We start from the raw sequence: 14,701 nt of genomic DNA, 5'->3' as shown, positions 1-14,701 counted from the left end.
TGATCTGCTTGCCTCAGCCTCCCAAAGTGCTGGGATTACAGGCGTGAGCCACTGCACCCGGCCCTTCATTCTTTTTTTTTTTTTTTTTTTTGAGATGGAGTCTCGCTCTGTCGCCCAGGCTGGAGTACAGTGGCTCGATCTCGGCTCACTGCAAGCTCCGCCTCCCGGGTTCATGCCATTCTCCTGCCTCAGCCTCCCGAGTAGCTGGGACCACAGGCACCCGCCACCACGCCCAGTTAATTTTTTGTATTTTTAGTAGAGACGGGGTTTCACCGTGTTAGCCAGGATGGTCTTGATCTCCTGACCTCGTGATCCGCCCGCCTCGGCCTCCCAAAGTGCTAGGATTACAGGTGTGAGCGACCGCGCCCGGCCCGGCCCTTCATTCTTTTAATGCTTCTTTTGAGGGACAGAAGTTCTTGATTTTAATATAGGTCAATTTATTTATCATTTTTTTCTTTTTGGCTTTTGTCTAAAAATATTTGCCTGTCCCTCAGTCATGAACATATTCTCTTATTTCTTATGTTTCCTTTCTTCCGTTTTGGAAGCATATTGAGGAAAAAAACAGTATTTTAAGAAGATAAAGGTGGCATATACGTGCAGGATCAATCTAGGGAAAGGTTGGAAACAGGAAAAACAGCCCGGAGGCTGTAGCATGCACCTAAATACCAGGCATTATGTCATCCCAGACTAGGAGATTTGAATGGAAAGAGAAGAAGAATAGACAGTGTAGGGCAAATTTTCCTGCTTGATTGAAGGTGAGAGAAATGACGATAAAAAGCCTACAATAACTGAGATTTGCTTGGAAACAAAGAATGTTTCCAAGTATACATTTTTTATTGCAGAATCCAGCCTTTTAATAAATATACTTTTTGAGATAATGTGGCCTCTGTTACTAAAAAGATGACGTTGAGCAAGTATTTGCCGTATGTGGAGGGCAGAAGAAGCAGTAATATCTTCTTATAGAAAGTATGTTTAGAACAAGAAAAGACTGAAGAAATCTACTGGGAAAGAGCATAGGTCTTTATCTGAGAGATATTTAAAGTGGAACTGACCAGCCATTTATTGTGGGGAGTAGATAGATAGCTGACTGGGGCAGGGAGTTGACTTAAGTAACCCTGTGGGCTCTCTGACAGGTTTAGAGACCTCTCATCTGCCTTGCAACTGGAGGCTGAGTCATGGAGACCATTTACCACTATGAAGACAATATCTGTTTAATGCCAAGAAGGGATGGATTTGCCAAGTTTACTTTTTTGAAGTAGTAATAAATTCCACCAAAAGTCCTTCTCCTGTCCCTCTCCCCTAAAATACACACGTCACATTGAAATTGCTTATGCTTTGAGACTGTCTAATTACACAAACTTTAACATAATAACGTCATGAGGAAAAGATCTGTGTAAACTTTTCAGAGAATAAAGGCTAGAGTTTAGATATTTTTGTTACTACTACATTTTCACTGTGTTCCAGCAAAATATGTGTTTCTATGATTCAAGTAAACAATTTTCTTCATCAGATTGGCGATTGATGTAAGAGTGCCCCTAACTTTTGCTAGGTCAGGATGTTGTGGCAGACTAAAGTTTCTGCTAGTTTCTACTGGCAATTGTGTTTAATTCGGAGGAAGCAAAGGAATTAGCAGAGTATGAGACATGCAGAGTATGAGGCATGCAAAACAAAATTCTAATGTCATTTCTGAATTTTAATCCTAATTATCTGTGTGGGTTTGCTTGTTTTTGTTCCTGATCTGTCCTTATGGGACCGAAGAGGAGTCAGTTTCCTTCTGCAAAAGACTGTAGTCCCATTGCAGATACAGCTTTATCTACAGAATCATTTCTTTGTTCAAAGTCATATCCTAAACAATCACATCTGGATTTCAACCTTCTGGACAGTCAAGTCCTTGACTTAGTTTTGCTTTTCCTAAATATTCTATAATAGTGTCTGTTATGGTTTGGAAATGGTCTGTTTATCCCATTATCAAATGTCATGTTAAAACTTGATCCCCAATGTAGTGGCATTGGGAGGTGGGGCCTGGTGGGGGGTGTTTGGGACATGGGAGTGGATCCCTCATGAATGGCTTGGTGCCATTCTTGCTGTAGTAAGTTCTTGTTCTAAATTAGTGAGACTGAATTAATTCCCATAGGAATGGACTAATTCCCGCAAGAGTGAGTTGTTTTGAAACCAGCACGTTCTTTGAGTTTTGTCTCTTCACAGGTGTCTGCTTTCCCTTTGACCTTCTCTACCATGTTATGATGCAGCATAAAAGCCCTCACTAGAAGCCAGGGCCATGCCCTTAAACTTCCCAGCTTGCAGAACCATGAGTTAAATAAACCTCTTTTATTAATAAATTCTCCACTTTTAGGTATTCTGTTATAACAACACAAATGGACTAAGACAGTGCCTTACACATAGAAAATAATTAATAAATAGTATTGAATAAAAATTGGTTGAGTAAAACAGGGACATGGAAGTGAGAGATCTAGGCATTGAGTCTTTTGTGATATGGCCCAAGCTTGTGTGTACACCCTTATCTCTGACCACAGCTCCTCATGCAGTCTATGCAATAGTCACAATTTCCTCATTGTCATTTCTTTAGCATTGCTCACTTGTGCACCTGTAATGTACACCTGTAATTATATCAGATAGTAGAGAAATATTGAGGCAGAAAAAAGATTTGAAGTAATAATGCCAAAACTGTTCAAATTTGATGAAAAAATACTTAAACCAAAGCACCAAAAAGGTCAATGAGCTTCAAGCTAAATGAATGTAGAGAAAAGCACATTTCTCACTTTGGTGGTGACTTGCACATTTCTGTTCCTTTAGCTTGAATGGCCTTCTTTCTTCGAGGCAAAGCCTCCGTAGGCATTTCACTCAAAAAAATATCCAAAAGCTAAGCATATGAAAATGTCCTCTGCCTCAGTACTTATTGAGACATTAAAATTAAAACCACAAGGAGACACCATTACATTTCCATAAACTGGCTAAAAGTAAAAAGACTAACAGTACTAAATGCTGGTGAGGATGTGAAGCAAATGGAACTCTACTACATGACTGGTTAGTAAATTGGCACAACTACTTCAAAAAAACTGTTTGGCAGTATCTAGTAAAGCTAAACACACATATTCTATAATTAATTAGTGAATATATTTCCCGAAAACATGAGTGCTTATGTCTATCAACAAACAGTCATAAGAATGTTGACGCCAGGCGTGGTGGCTCACGCCTGTAACCCCAGCACTTTGGGATGCTGAGGTGGACGGATCATGAGGTCAGGAGTTCGAGACCAGCCTGACCAACATGGTGAAACCCCCGACCAACATGGTGAAAAATTAGCCAGGTGTGGTGGTGCGCACCTGTAGTCCCAGCTACTCAGGAGGCTGAGGCAGGAGAATTGCTTGAACCCGGGAGGCAGAGGTTGTAGTGAGCCGAGATGGTGCCATTGCACTCCAGCCTAGGAGACAGATCAAGACTGCCTAAAAAAAAAAAAAAAAAAAAAAAAAAAAAAAAAAAAAAAAAGTAGTGAGCACCCAAACCAGTAAACACAAATTTATTATACAATTGTTATAAGTGCCATTATAAAATGAAATCTAATATAAACAATTAGAAATAAAATATATTGTAAGAACAAATTTATAGCAAGAAGACAGCTTTTAAATCTAGATTATCTTGACAATATTTGGAAGCAAGGGTGACAAGTGGGAAACTGAAAGCAAAATCAATCAATCATCTTATAGAAAAAGATAAAAAATACTGATTTTAAGTGTAGAATGTGTGCTGTAGAAAATAAATTTAAACATTAAAAAAAAACATTTGGTTGCCTGATTTGAATTTTCTCTGTCAAAACACACAAATGAAAAAAACTGCGTCTTGGCTGGGCGTAGTGGCTCATGCCTGTGATCCCAGCACTTTGGAAGGCTGAGGCTGGCAGACCACTTGAGGCCAGGAGTTCAAGACTAGCCTGGCCAGCACGGTGAAACCTTGTCTCTACTAAAAATACAAAAATTAGCTGGGCCTGGTGGTGGGCGCCTGTAATCCCAGCTACTAGGGAGACTGAAACCTGAGATTTGCTTGAGCCCAGGAGGTGGAGGTTTCAGTGAGCTGACATCATGCCACTGCACTCTAGCCTGGGCAACACAGCAAGACTCTGTCTCAAAAAGCAAAAACCAAATTACTTCTTTGTTTTATTTTTTAAAGTTTTACATTAGATAGTAACAAATGCTATTTTTTAATTGCAATCTTTGAACTTGGAGCTCTCCTCTGTGATTTCTCTCCCTCAGCAATAGGCTTAAGAGATGTACCCATTGTCCGGGGTTTCCCTGCCTGGCCTCTCTGCCTCACTGCAGCGTGAAATAATAACCTGGTATGGTGGACAGAGAAAATATGACCCCTGCTGCTGCACTGCTCCCCAGTGAGTTGCATTTTACAAAGGGAGTGGGGTAGCGATTATATCTGATTTATAAAGACTAAGGCAGAAGTTTTTGAAGGAAATCTCAGGAATCAAGTTTCCTTCAATTCTTTATCCAACTTACGTCACAAGGGCTTCCTATATTCTTCCCTTTTTTTACACTAACTTAAGTGTGAAACAGTAGCTTTTGCAATTCTACAGAGTACACGATGCTCTGACCTACCATGATCTTAGAGCAGGGGCCACAGGCAGAAAGAAATTTTCTTAAGCTATATCTTTGCTGTGCTGTTCCTTTCTGATTTCAAATCCAGCTAGTTTGGAATGATGCTTGTCTCTAAGGTAGCACTGCATGAGCAGTGGCAAGCCTCCTAAAACAGCAGCTTTGGAGGGAGCATTGTTTAATTAATCCTCAAGACACCAAAGGGCACACATGAAGTCAGCAACTTTGCTGCATAACATGGATTGCTATTATAAAACTAAAAGCAAACACTTTTTAAAAAATTCATCTTTTTATTTTCTTCAACTTTAAGTTCTGGGATACATCTGCAGAGTGTGCAGGTTTGTTTCATAGGTAAACATGTGCCATGGTGGCTTACTGAACAGATCAACCCCTCACCTAGGTATTAAGCCCAGAATCCATTAGCTATTCTTCCTGATGCTCTCCCTCTCCCCGCCCCATGACAGGCACCAGCGTGCGTTATTCCCCACTATGTGTCCATGTGATCTCATTGTTCAGCTCCCACTTATAAGTGAGAACGTGCCATGTTTGGTTTTCTGTTCCTGAGTTAGGTTGCTGAGAAAAAAAACGACAGCTCCATCCTTGTCCCTGCAAAGGACATGATCTTGTTCCTTCTTATGGTTGCATAGTATTTCATGGTGTATATGTACCACATTTTCAAGTTTGGGTTCATTCCATGTCTTTTCTATTGTGAATAGTCCTGCAATGAACACATGTGTGCATATAGCTTTATAATAAAATGATTTATATTCCTTTGGGTATATACCCAGTAATAGGATAGCTGGGTCAAAAGGTATTTCTGGTTCTAGGTCTTTGAGGAGTCATCACGCTGTCTTCCACTGTGGTTGAAATAATTTACACTCCCACCAACAGTGGAAGTGGAAGAACAGCGTTCCTTTTTCTCCACAACCTTGCCAGCATCTGTTGTTTCTTGACATTTTAATAATCGCCATTCTGACTAGTGTGAGATGGTATCTCATTGTGGTTTTGATTTGCATTTCTCTAATGACCAGTGATGGTGAGTTTTTTCCACATGTTTGTAGGCCACGTGAATGTCTTCTTTAGAGAAATGTCGGACATGAACATTTGCAGTCCTACTTTTTAATGGGGCTGTGTTTTTTTTTTCTTGTAAATTTGTTTAAGTTCCTTATTGACTCTGAATATTAGATCTTTGTCAGATGGATAGTTTGCAAAAATTTTCTCCCATTCTGTAGGTTGTCTGTTCTCTCTGATGATAGTTTCCATTGCTGTGCAGAAGCTCTTTAGTTTAATTAGATCCCTTTTGTCAATTTTTGCTTTTATTACATTTGCTTTTGGTGTTTTTGTCATGAAGTCTTTGCCCATGTCTGTGTCCTGAATGGTACTGCCTAGGTTTTCTTCCAGGGTTTTTCTGGTTTTAGGTTTTACATTTAAGTCTTTAATCCATCTTGAGTTAACTTTTGTATAAGGTATAAGGAAGGGGTCCAGTTTCTGTTTTCTGCATATGGCTAGCCAGTTTTCCCAGCACCATTTATTAAATAGAGAATCCTTTCCCCATTGCTTGTTTTTGTCAGGTTTGTCAAAGATCAGATGGTTGTAGATGTGAGGTGTTATTTCTGAGGCCTCTTCTCTGTTCCATTAGTCTATATATCTGTTTTGGTATGAGTACCACTCTGTTTTGGTTACTGTAGCCTTGTAGTACAGTTTGAAGTCGGGTAGCGTGATAACTCCAGCTTTGTTCTTTTTGGTTAGGATTGTTTTGGCTGTTTGGGCTCTTTTTTGGTTCCATATGAATTTAAAATTTTGTTTTTTAATTCTGTGAAGAATGTCAATGGTAGTTTAATGAGAGTAGCATTGAACCTATAAATTACTTTGGGCAGTATGGCCATTTTCACAATATTGATTCTTCCTATCCATGAGCATGAAATGTTTTCCATTTGTTTGTGCACTTTGATTTCTTGGAGCAGTGGTATGTAGTTCTCCTTGAAGAGGTCCTTCACTTCCCTTTTTAGCTGTATTTCTAAGTATTTTATTCTCTTTGTAGCAATTATAAATGGGAGTTTATTCATAATTTGGCTCTCTGCTTGCCTGTTGTTGGTGTATAGGAAAGCTAGCAATTTTTGCACATTGATTTTGTATCCTGAGACTTTGGTGAAGTTGCTTATCAGCTTAAGAAGCTTTTGGGCTGAGATGATGGGGTTTTCTTAGGATTACGTCATCTGCAAACAGAGACAATTTGACTTCTTCTCTTCTTACGTGAATACCTTTTATTTCTTTCTCTTCAGGCAAATATTAAAAAATCAGAAATAGATTATATTGATATTATTTGAAAGTAGAGTTGAAAAGTGAGAAACCAACAACAAAATAAATCAATCCTCTTATATAAAAAGATGCGCACTACTTAATTTTGACTTAGACAATTCCACATTGTAGGGTCCATCACTTGCAATATGTTATGCCTGTAGCAATTCTCTATGAGGTAGTTTGCCATTGAAAGAACTCAATATTGAGGAAATTTGTCACCAAATTTAGTAGGAATAGATTCATTAGAGAGAATCTTTTTCAAGGTGCACAATTTCCTCAACATTGCTAATTCCCTTTAATCCTTCTTACTTTTTTAATGGAAGATGGCATGTTGCCTTTCCTATGCAATATTGCATCTTCTGCAGAATATTTCAATTCAGTGTCAATGGGAAGACGTTCATATTCATGGCATTCTTCCAATGATACAGTTTCTTCCTTTCACTTTCCCCCATGTCAAACTCTTGACCTTTGTGATTGGTCTCTGTTTCCTTAAACTCTTTCTAGTTGACTCCAGCATTTTAGCTTGTCCAGAAATTCTTTAACTGTTTGATAAACAAAGGTAAAGAAAGATGTTCAGCTTTAGCAGAAAAAATATACACCATTATTAGTAGCATAAATAATTGGTGACCCACCTAGGAAGAAGGGCAGTGATAACATGAACTCTGCAGTCACGGGCAGAGTGCCCTTGGCTAAACAGAGGCTAAGGCAAAAGCTTCTGAACTACCACTTGATTAAGGTATACAATGTCAAGGAAGAAGGAGTGGTGAGGCAGATTAAGAGGGTGAGTCAATATGAGGATATGTTACCAAGGTGTCTGCTACTTGTAATTAAGTGAACTGAAACTCAGAGTATTTGTTGTTGCAGTGGGATCTGGGGTGGAACAAGTGGTTAGAAGTATCCAAAACTGATGAGGCTGAGAGGATCTGAGATGGTGCAAAATAAGTGACTAATAGTGTAACCCTTGCACCATTAAAGTCCGTTTGGGGCCTCCTATTATATCTGGCTCACTATTACAATTTAGTACCTCAATTTTTGTGAAAACAAAACATCCTCACTCATGTTCTGATAGGGGAGGGACAAGCCCAACCAGTGACAAAGACCCCTTCAGGAGAGTGGCCAGCAGCAATTTGGGAGAGGACTGACAGCAAGAAGGATATGGAAACAAGCTGCATCTGGTCCCAAAGCCATCCTTAATAATCATCATCACTCCTCTCCTCCATTCATTTTAGATTTTTCTTCCCATCAGCCAACACTTTAGCTGCTGAGTTTTCTCCCTGGTGGGGTAATCTACAGTTCTACTCCTGAGGGGTTTGCAGCCTAAATTGCCTTGCCTTTTTGAGTTATGGTTGCTACATTGCTCATTTGGTCTTCTTCTTTTTTTTTTTTTTTTTTGAGAGAGAGTTTCATTCTTGTCACCCAAGCTGGAGTGCAATGATGGCATGATCTCAGCTCACTGCAACATCTGACTCCCAGGTTCAAGCGATTCTCCTGCCTCAGCCTGCCGGGTAGCTGGGATCACAGGCATGTGCCACCACTCCTGGCTAATTTTTGTATTTTTAGTAGAGACAGGGTTTCATCATGTTGGCCAGGCTAGTCTCTAACTCCTGACCTCAGGTGATCTGCCTGCCTCGGCCTCCCAAAGTGCTGGGATTACAGGCATGAGCCATTGCATCCAGCTGCTCATTTGCTCTTATAATTGGGCATGGAAGCACAGAGAGAAGTCTCAGTGGATCTCTGGATTCTGGGAATTCCTTAGACTTCTTACCCTTATTGTGGGGCAGCATTCCTAACTTTTCATAGTCATCAGGTTCAATTATCACTAGGAATACAGTAATTCTTTTCTTTGACTTTTGTCCATTGGGATGAGGAGTAAAGAGTGGCATAGCTGCTGTCTCGGCCTTCAATTCAGTACAACTCCTAGTGGAAACATTCCCTCCCAGGAGTCAGGACCTCTAATCTGTCAGAGTCCAATGATGTAAGAAGGAGAAACACAAATTCTGCAAGTAGGTCACTGGGAATGATTCAGAGAGGTTTCAATCTTACTACTATCCTTTGCTTTCAAGATTAATGAGTTCCAGTTTCTAGAGACACAGGCAGTTTCATCTTTGTATTTGGCTGGCTGCCTCTGGGTGAGGGGTACATGGTAACACCCACAAGTCCCATAGTTATATGTCCATGGTTGTACCTCTTTGGCTGTAAAATATTTCTCTTGGCCTGAGGCAACATGGAGTGTCATACCGTGTCCATTGATTAGGCATTTAGACCATGGTGCTGGTAAAAGCTACATGGTGAGGAGCAGGGGAGGAGAATCCATTTTCAGAATAGATATAGCCTTGGATAAAGAGGAATCACTGCCCATGTCAGGCTGGAAAGGATCTGATGTACGTGATCTGCCAATAGGTGCTGGATAATTTTCTAGGGCAGTGATTTCAAAACATAATCCATGGATCTGGGCTGGTCTGCACACTTTTACCAATCTGTGATAAGTATATAAATTGTAAATGTTTAGGAACATTTTTAAAGTAATTTGACATTGCTACAATGTCTAAGCATCTGATAATTTTTCTGATTATTTCCATGATGATTTCATTGAATTATATAAAAGTATTTTCCATAGCATTTGGTTATTTATTTATATATTTGAGACAGGGTCTTGCCCTGTTGCCCAGCCTGGAGTGCAGTTGCACAATCACAGCTCTCTGCAGCCTCAACCTCCCCAGGCTCAAGCAATTCTCCCACCTCAGTCTCCTGAGTATCTAGGACTACAAGTGTGCACCACTATGCCCAGCTAATTTTTGTATTTTTTTTTTTTTTTTTTTCGTAGAGATGGGCTTTGCCATGTTACCCAGGCTGATCTTGAACTCCTGGGCTTAAGCAATCCCCCAACCTTGGCCTTTCAAAGTGCTGGGAGCAAGCAATTTGCCCACCTCAGTCTCCCAAAGTGTGCCTGGCCAGTGTTTGGAAGTTTTTTAAAACAGCAAATATAAAAACTGTTTACTCACCAAAGATTAAGATGTTCTGTCCGAAAGGAATAGAACCATGTCAAGTGATTATAATCAGTCTCTAATGCTGGCAGATTGAGCAGTATCAAGAGCCTTGGTGAGAGGGAACCCAGGTTGTTGCAGCCATGCAGTTCTCCATCTTTGCCATCATAGCCACTGGCTCAAAGGCCCAAGACAGTATTAAACCATGAAAAGAGGCTGGTTGATGTCCACAGAAGGTTATGCCACCTCCCTGGGGACTGAGAACCTTTTCTGAGGTGAATACATCTTGGTGGGCAGCAACACGAGACACAAAGATCCTTGTACCTTTTGCGTCCATTTCCATAGGTTCAGCTACAAATGTCTTCCTAAAGTCTACCGGACCCAGATTGTGGTAGGCTGATAATACCCCCAACAAATGTCTTCCTAAAACCTACCTGTCCCAGATCATGGTAGATTGGTAATGCACCCCAACCCCCAAAGATATCAGATCCTTATCCCTGGAACCTGTAAATATTACCTTATATGAAAAAATAGTCTTTGCAGGTGTGACTAAGTTAAGGATCTTGAAATAGGGAGATTATCCTGAATTATCCAGGAGGGCCTTAAATAAAATCACAAGTGTCCTTAGAAGAAGGAGACAGTGGGAGATTCCACACACACTGAGGAGCACATGATATGAAGAAGGAGACAGATTGGAGTGATGTGGTCACAAGACCAACAAATGCCAGCAGCAAGCAGAAGCTGGAAGAGGTGCAGACAACTTTCTTTCAACCCAGTGATACCGATTTCCAACTTCTGGACTCTAGACCATGAGACAAGAAATTTCTGCTGATTTAAGTCACCAAGCTTTTGGTAGTTTTTGACAGCAGCCACAGGAAACTAATACACAAACATTCCAGTCTTGTTTCCTTGAGCCAGGTAAGTTGTCACTTCTCAGGAGTCATATATATATATACATATATATATACACACACACATATATACACATATATACATATATACATACACACATTTCAAATTTTCTTCCATAGGAAGTGAATAGCCCAGAGTAGTGCTTAAAGCTCTGACCTCTGGGAGAATTTTCCTTTGCTAAGATCCCTTAATGTCACTCCTGAGTGATGCTGTAATGTATCAGCTGTTCATTTTTTTGCTAGCACCCAATATAGTGTAGTCCCAGTCTTTTAATTGGACTTGAACTATTTTTTACTCTTTATAGATGTGAGTTGAGAGAGAAACAGAGCAAGGGGATGTAGAAGTCTGGCCACTTGCTCATATCATTTACTTGTACCTCCTGGAGTTCTGTAGGCCTGATGCTCAATTTCTATTACATAGATATTACTTCCTTGACCACCTGATCTTATGAATCAGTTGCCCAGACAATCTCCAACTTTGATGAGCAGCCCTGGTCACATAGACACTTGGTATCCTACTCTCATTCAGTTACTTATGAGCTTCTTTTCATATGAGAATAATTTTCTGCTGCAGAAGGCATGGTATTCCTCCACAATCATAGATCTGTGCTTTGAGTCTCCAAGTGGGGCTTGCAATTCTACATATCTTCTTTATCCACCTCCAACACTTCTATACCATTGGATCTAGGCCTGAGTGGCAAGATGATTTGAACTGGAGCCTGAATCTGCAGCAGAGCCTTATCTTACTCCGGACCCCACTTGAAACTCCACTTAATATCAAGAGGTTCAATTTCATGGTTACATCTCCTGTCAGTCCTGTTCTACAGAAGACAGTCACCACTGAGCTCCTCAGAGATGTAAGTGACCCCTGGAACTGTGCATTTCTTTTTGCCTTAATGAAGAATATGTTCTGGACCCTCCCAGAATTATGGCTTCCAAAATCTTACAATCCAGTACCTTCACTGCTAAGGCAGAAATATTCAGAGGGTATACAGGTGGACCCACTGGGTTTTGCTGAGTCAGGAAAGAGAGTTGGAAAGCCTTTGGCCTCCTGCCTGTCATTATTTGAGTCCGGTGATAAATAGCATATCACATTGGGAAGAAAGTAGAAGGGATCAGGACCTGAAGTAGGAATCCAAACAGATAATTAAAGCAATGTTACCTGAATTGACTTGGATGCAATTTTGGTAATCAATAAAAATATATAATATTCTCCACATATTTCTTACCACATGTATTTGGCTGCCATGACAAGAGAACCCACAAAAAAAACAATGGCATTACATCTCTGAAAACACTCACCCTCCTAACGCTTATAAGGCAATGGTCTCCTTTGCTCTCCTGCCATCTTTGAGGACTCAGAAGCACTTTTGGTTACCTGTGGGCTCACTGTGTGGAGAAGGTCACATGGCCTTGAGTCTGCACTGGGCGGAGAGTCTTCTTTGCGTGTGTGTCCATTCTGTCTCTTTTTCCTGGGATCATCTTACAGCATGGTTCTGGCAAGACTGCTTCTCCACAGTCTGCAAAATTCCAGGGGGTGGTGAGGCCTGAATTCTATTCTAAGAAAGAAAGAAGGAAGACAGGTAGGTAGGTTACCTTACACATCCTGAGGATTTAATAAGTCATTCCATGCTCTGACTGGCTGAGTTAGTTCTGAGAAAGAATGATCTTCCATTGCCTAGCTAGGCACAGGAAACAGTTGTTCCCAGCACAGGTTGTCAGCGTTTTGCTTGCAGCTAACTCTGAGGTGGAACAATTCTCCTGACTTGGAATAATTAGCTTCTGAGACAAGGAATGATGGCCAAATGCAAAATAATTAAGAAGACAAGGTCTATGCATTTCAGTAACTTACTTTCCCTTTCCTTTTGCCCCTCCCTGCAATGGGCCAGAGCTGGAATCCTTTCCAACTGGAATGAGAACCTGTCTCTACTCTGAGCCAAGGCAGAGTTAAATAAGCCATTGTGCCATGTGCTCATGGGTAATTAGGCATGAAAAGAATCTGCAGTTGGCTCCCTCCATTGTTTCTCTCAAGCTGTCCTTTTGCCATGTGCCCAAGCCCCCGGGTCTCAGTGCTGGCACTTGTACAGGGATATGGGTGCCGTCGTCATGGCAACTCCTCATGCTAGGCAACTTTATAGTCTAATATTATTAAGGGGGCAGGGGTCAAAAGCCAGTGAGGGACTTTGTCTGTGAAGCCCAGGGTAATTGTGTCAGGGATGGAGTAGGATGGGGAGCTCATAGGAGAAGAGGGGACCTTAGGAAGCACGAGGTTGAGTCCTCCAATGAACACCTTTGAGGCAGAGAGATGGCCACGCGGAGAGGTCAATAAAATGTGTCTGAGGGTCCCAGTTTCTACTCTCCCATGTTGCTTCCTCGGTGCTTCGCTCTCTCCTTTTAGGTGCTTGGTCCCCTGCTACTCCCTCTTGGGAAAGGATCTACTTTCAGTAGTTTCCATCTGAAAGTGAATTTTATTTGCTGCCCAATTCTACTTTGTATTTGTATATCCAATCCTATTTCCAACTGTGGAACAAAAAGCATTGTCCAGGAAAATGATGGAAAAAAATTGGAGAAGAAAGATCTCCTTCTCCAAAACCCTTACTTTTTGCAGTGAAGAAGCTGCCTTTTCTGTTTTAGCATTTCTCATGAAAAATTTCATTCACCAAAGTAGGGAGCATAGTATAACAACCCCTGTGAACCCATCACTTCAGCTGCCTTCTTTACATATGTTCACCATGCTTGACAAGTAAATTCAGAGCTGAAAGGAGCGCTCTTACCCTTCTCTTCCCCACCTCAGCCTCAGCCAGGGTGAGTTGCTCAACAGCCCAAGGATGAAGATTTCTCTAAGGGTGACACAGAATAGAGTCCTGGGCACTGCTGGGACACTTCTAGAGCACTGGATTGTGGACTGCATGTTAGCGCTTTCCTCTCCCCATCCCCGGGCGGTCAGGAGACCTGAGAATGCATTGAGAACCCACCTGCCCAGCCAGTGAGGGGTTCATGGTGGCTGGCTTCTTAGCCATTCTGCTGTTACTCTTGTTACTGTTCCCTGGTTTGAATGAGACTAGCCTCACAGATTGCATCACCAAGTAATCTCTTCTGAACCAGCCAACTGACTTCCTGTGTTGACCAAGAGGAGGGCTCCAAAAATTGCTCTTATCTTTGAATAAAGCAATATGTTTCTACATGAAGTAACAAAATGTACCCATTTTCTAATAGCATCCCAAAATTATGCTACTGCTGTAAAAGTTTTCACAGCACCCTAAATCTCCTTTTGAATTAGCTCTTGGCCTCCATGAGCATGGAATTGGGGTCTATGCAGTTCGTGAGACTGTGTTATAACAATGTTATTCTCATCTGTCTGCTAATTAATTAGATTGTTGATGCTCTCAAATTATATTAAAACTTGGTATAATGGCATGAAAAAACTCTGGTCTAAAAAGTATGGCAAAAGGGTGAACATAGGACTCTCTGTAAGGTACAAAGATATAAGAGCTAAGCTCAATTTCAGATTAATAAATACAATTTTCTATAGTGTAGACAGCTATTACTACGCCACCAGTACTTACTATTATCACTACTATGGCCACTACCACAGAACATTTTCTGTTTCTAAAGTGCTCTGTTATAGCTGGAATACTTTTTTGAAGGTGAACAAACACGTTGGAGCTTTTCCAGGTGAGGTTTGTTCATTATTCAGTTATCGGACATTAGTAAAACTCAACCAAAGTAAAAGATAGCAATGGCAGAGTATCAAAGAGCTTCAAGCACTCATGAAAGAGATAGAAAGAAGTGGGAGAGGCAGGCGGGTGAGATAGGGTGGGTGCAGTACTGTTCAGTAAATATAAATCATTACTCTTATAATTGATATGATTCACAATTATTAACATCT

The 14,701-nt window shown here is 40.9% G+C and overlaps 1 long non-coding RNA gene across 1 annotated transcript in view, besides 1 other annotated feature; it reads left to right on the top strand.

The window, feature by feature from the left end:
- MIR100HG (mir-100-let-7a-2-mir-125b-1 cluster host gene) overlaps positions 1-14,701 on the top strand; it is a 394,543-nt gene that overhangs the window by 15,559 nt on the left and 364,283 nt on the right. The gene's annotated exons all lie outside the window — the stretch shown is intronic.
- Positions 7,728-7,847: a silencer, noted in NCBI's record as "silent region_4007". NCBI's record gives its function as "represses an Ori minimal core promoter by ATAC-STARR-seq in GM12878 lymphoblastoid cells {active_cell/tissue: GM12878}" and the evidence as "EXISTENCE:reporter gene assay evidence [ECO:0000049][PMID:35858748]".

The sequence above is a fragment of the Homo sapiens genome, chromosome 11 (genome assembly GCF_000001405.40).
Source record: "Homo sapiens chromosome 11, GRCh38.p14 Primary Assembly".
In the NCBI taxonomy this organism is placed as follows: domain Eukaryota; kingdom Metazoa; phylum Chordata; class Mammalia; order Primates; family Hominidae; genus Homo; species Homo sapiens.
This window is presented reverse-complemented; position numbering and strand designations above follow the sequence as displayed.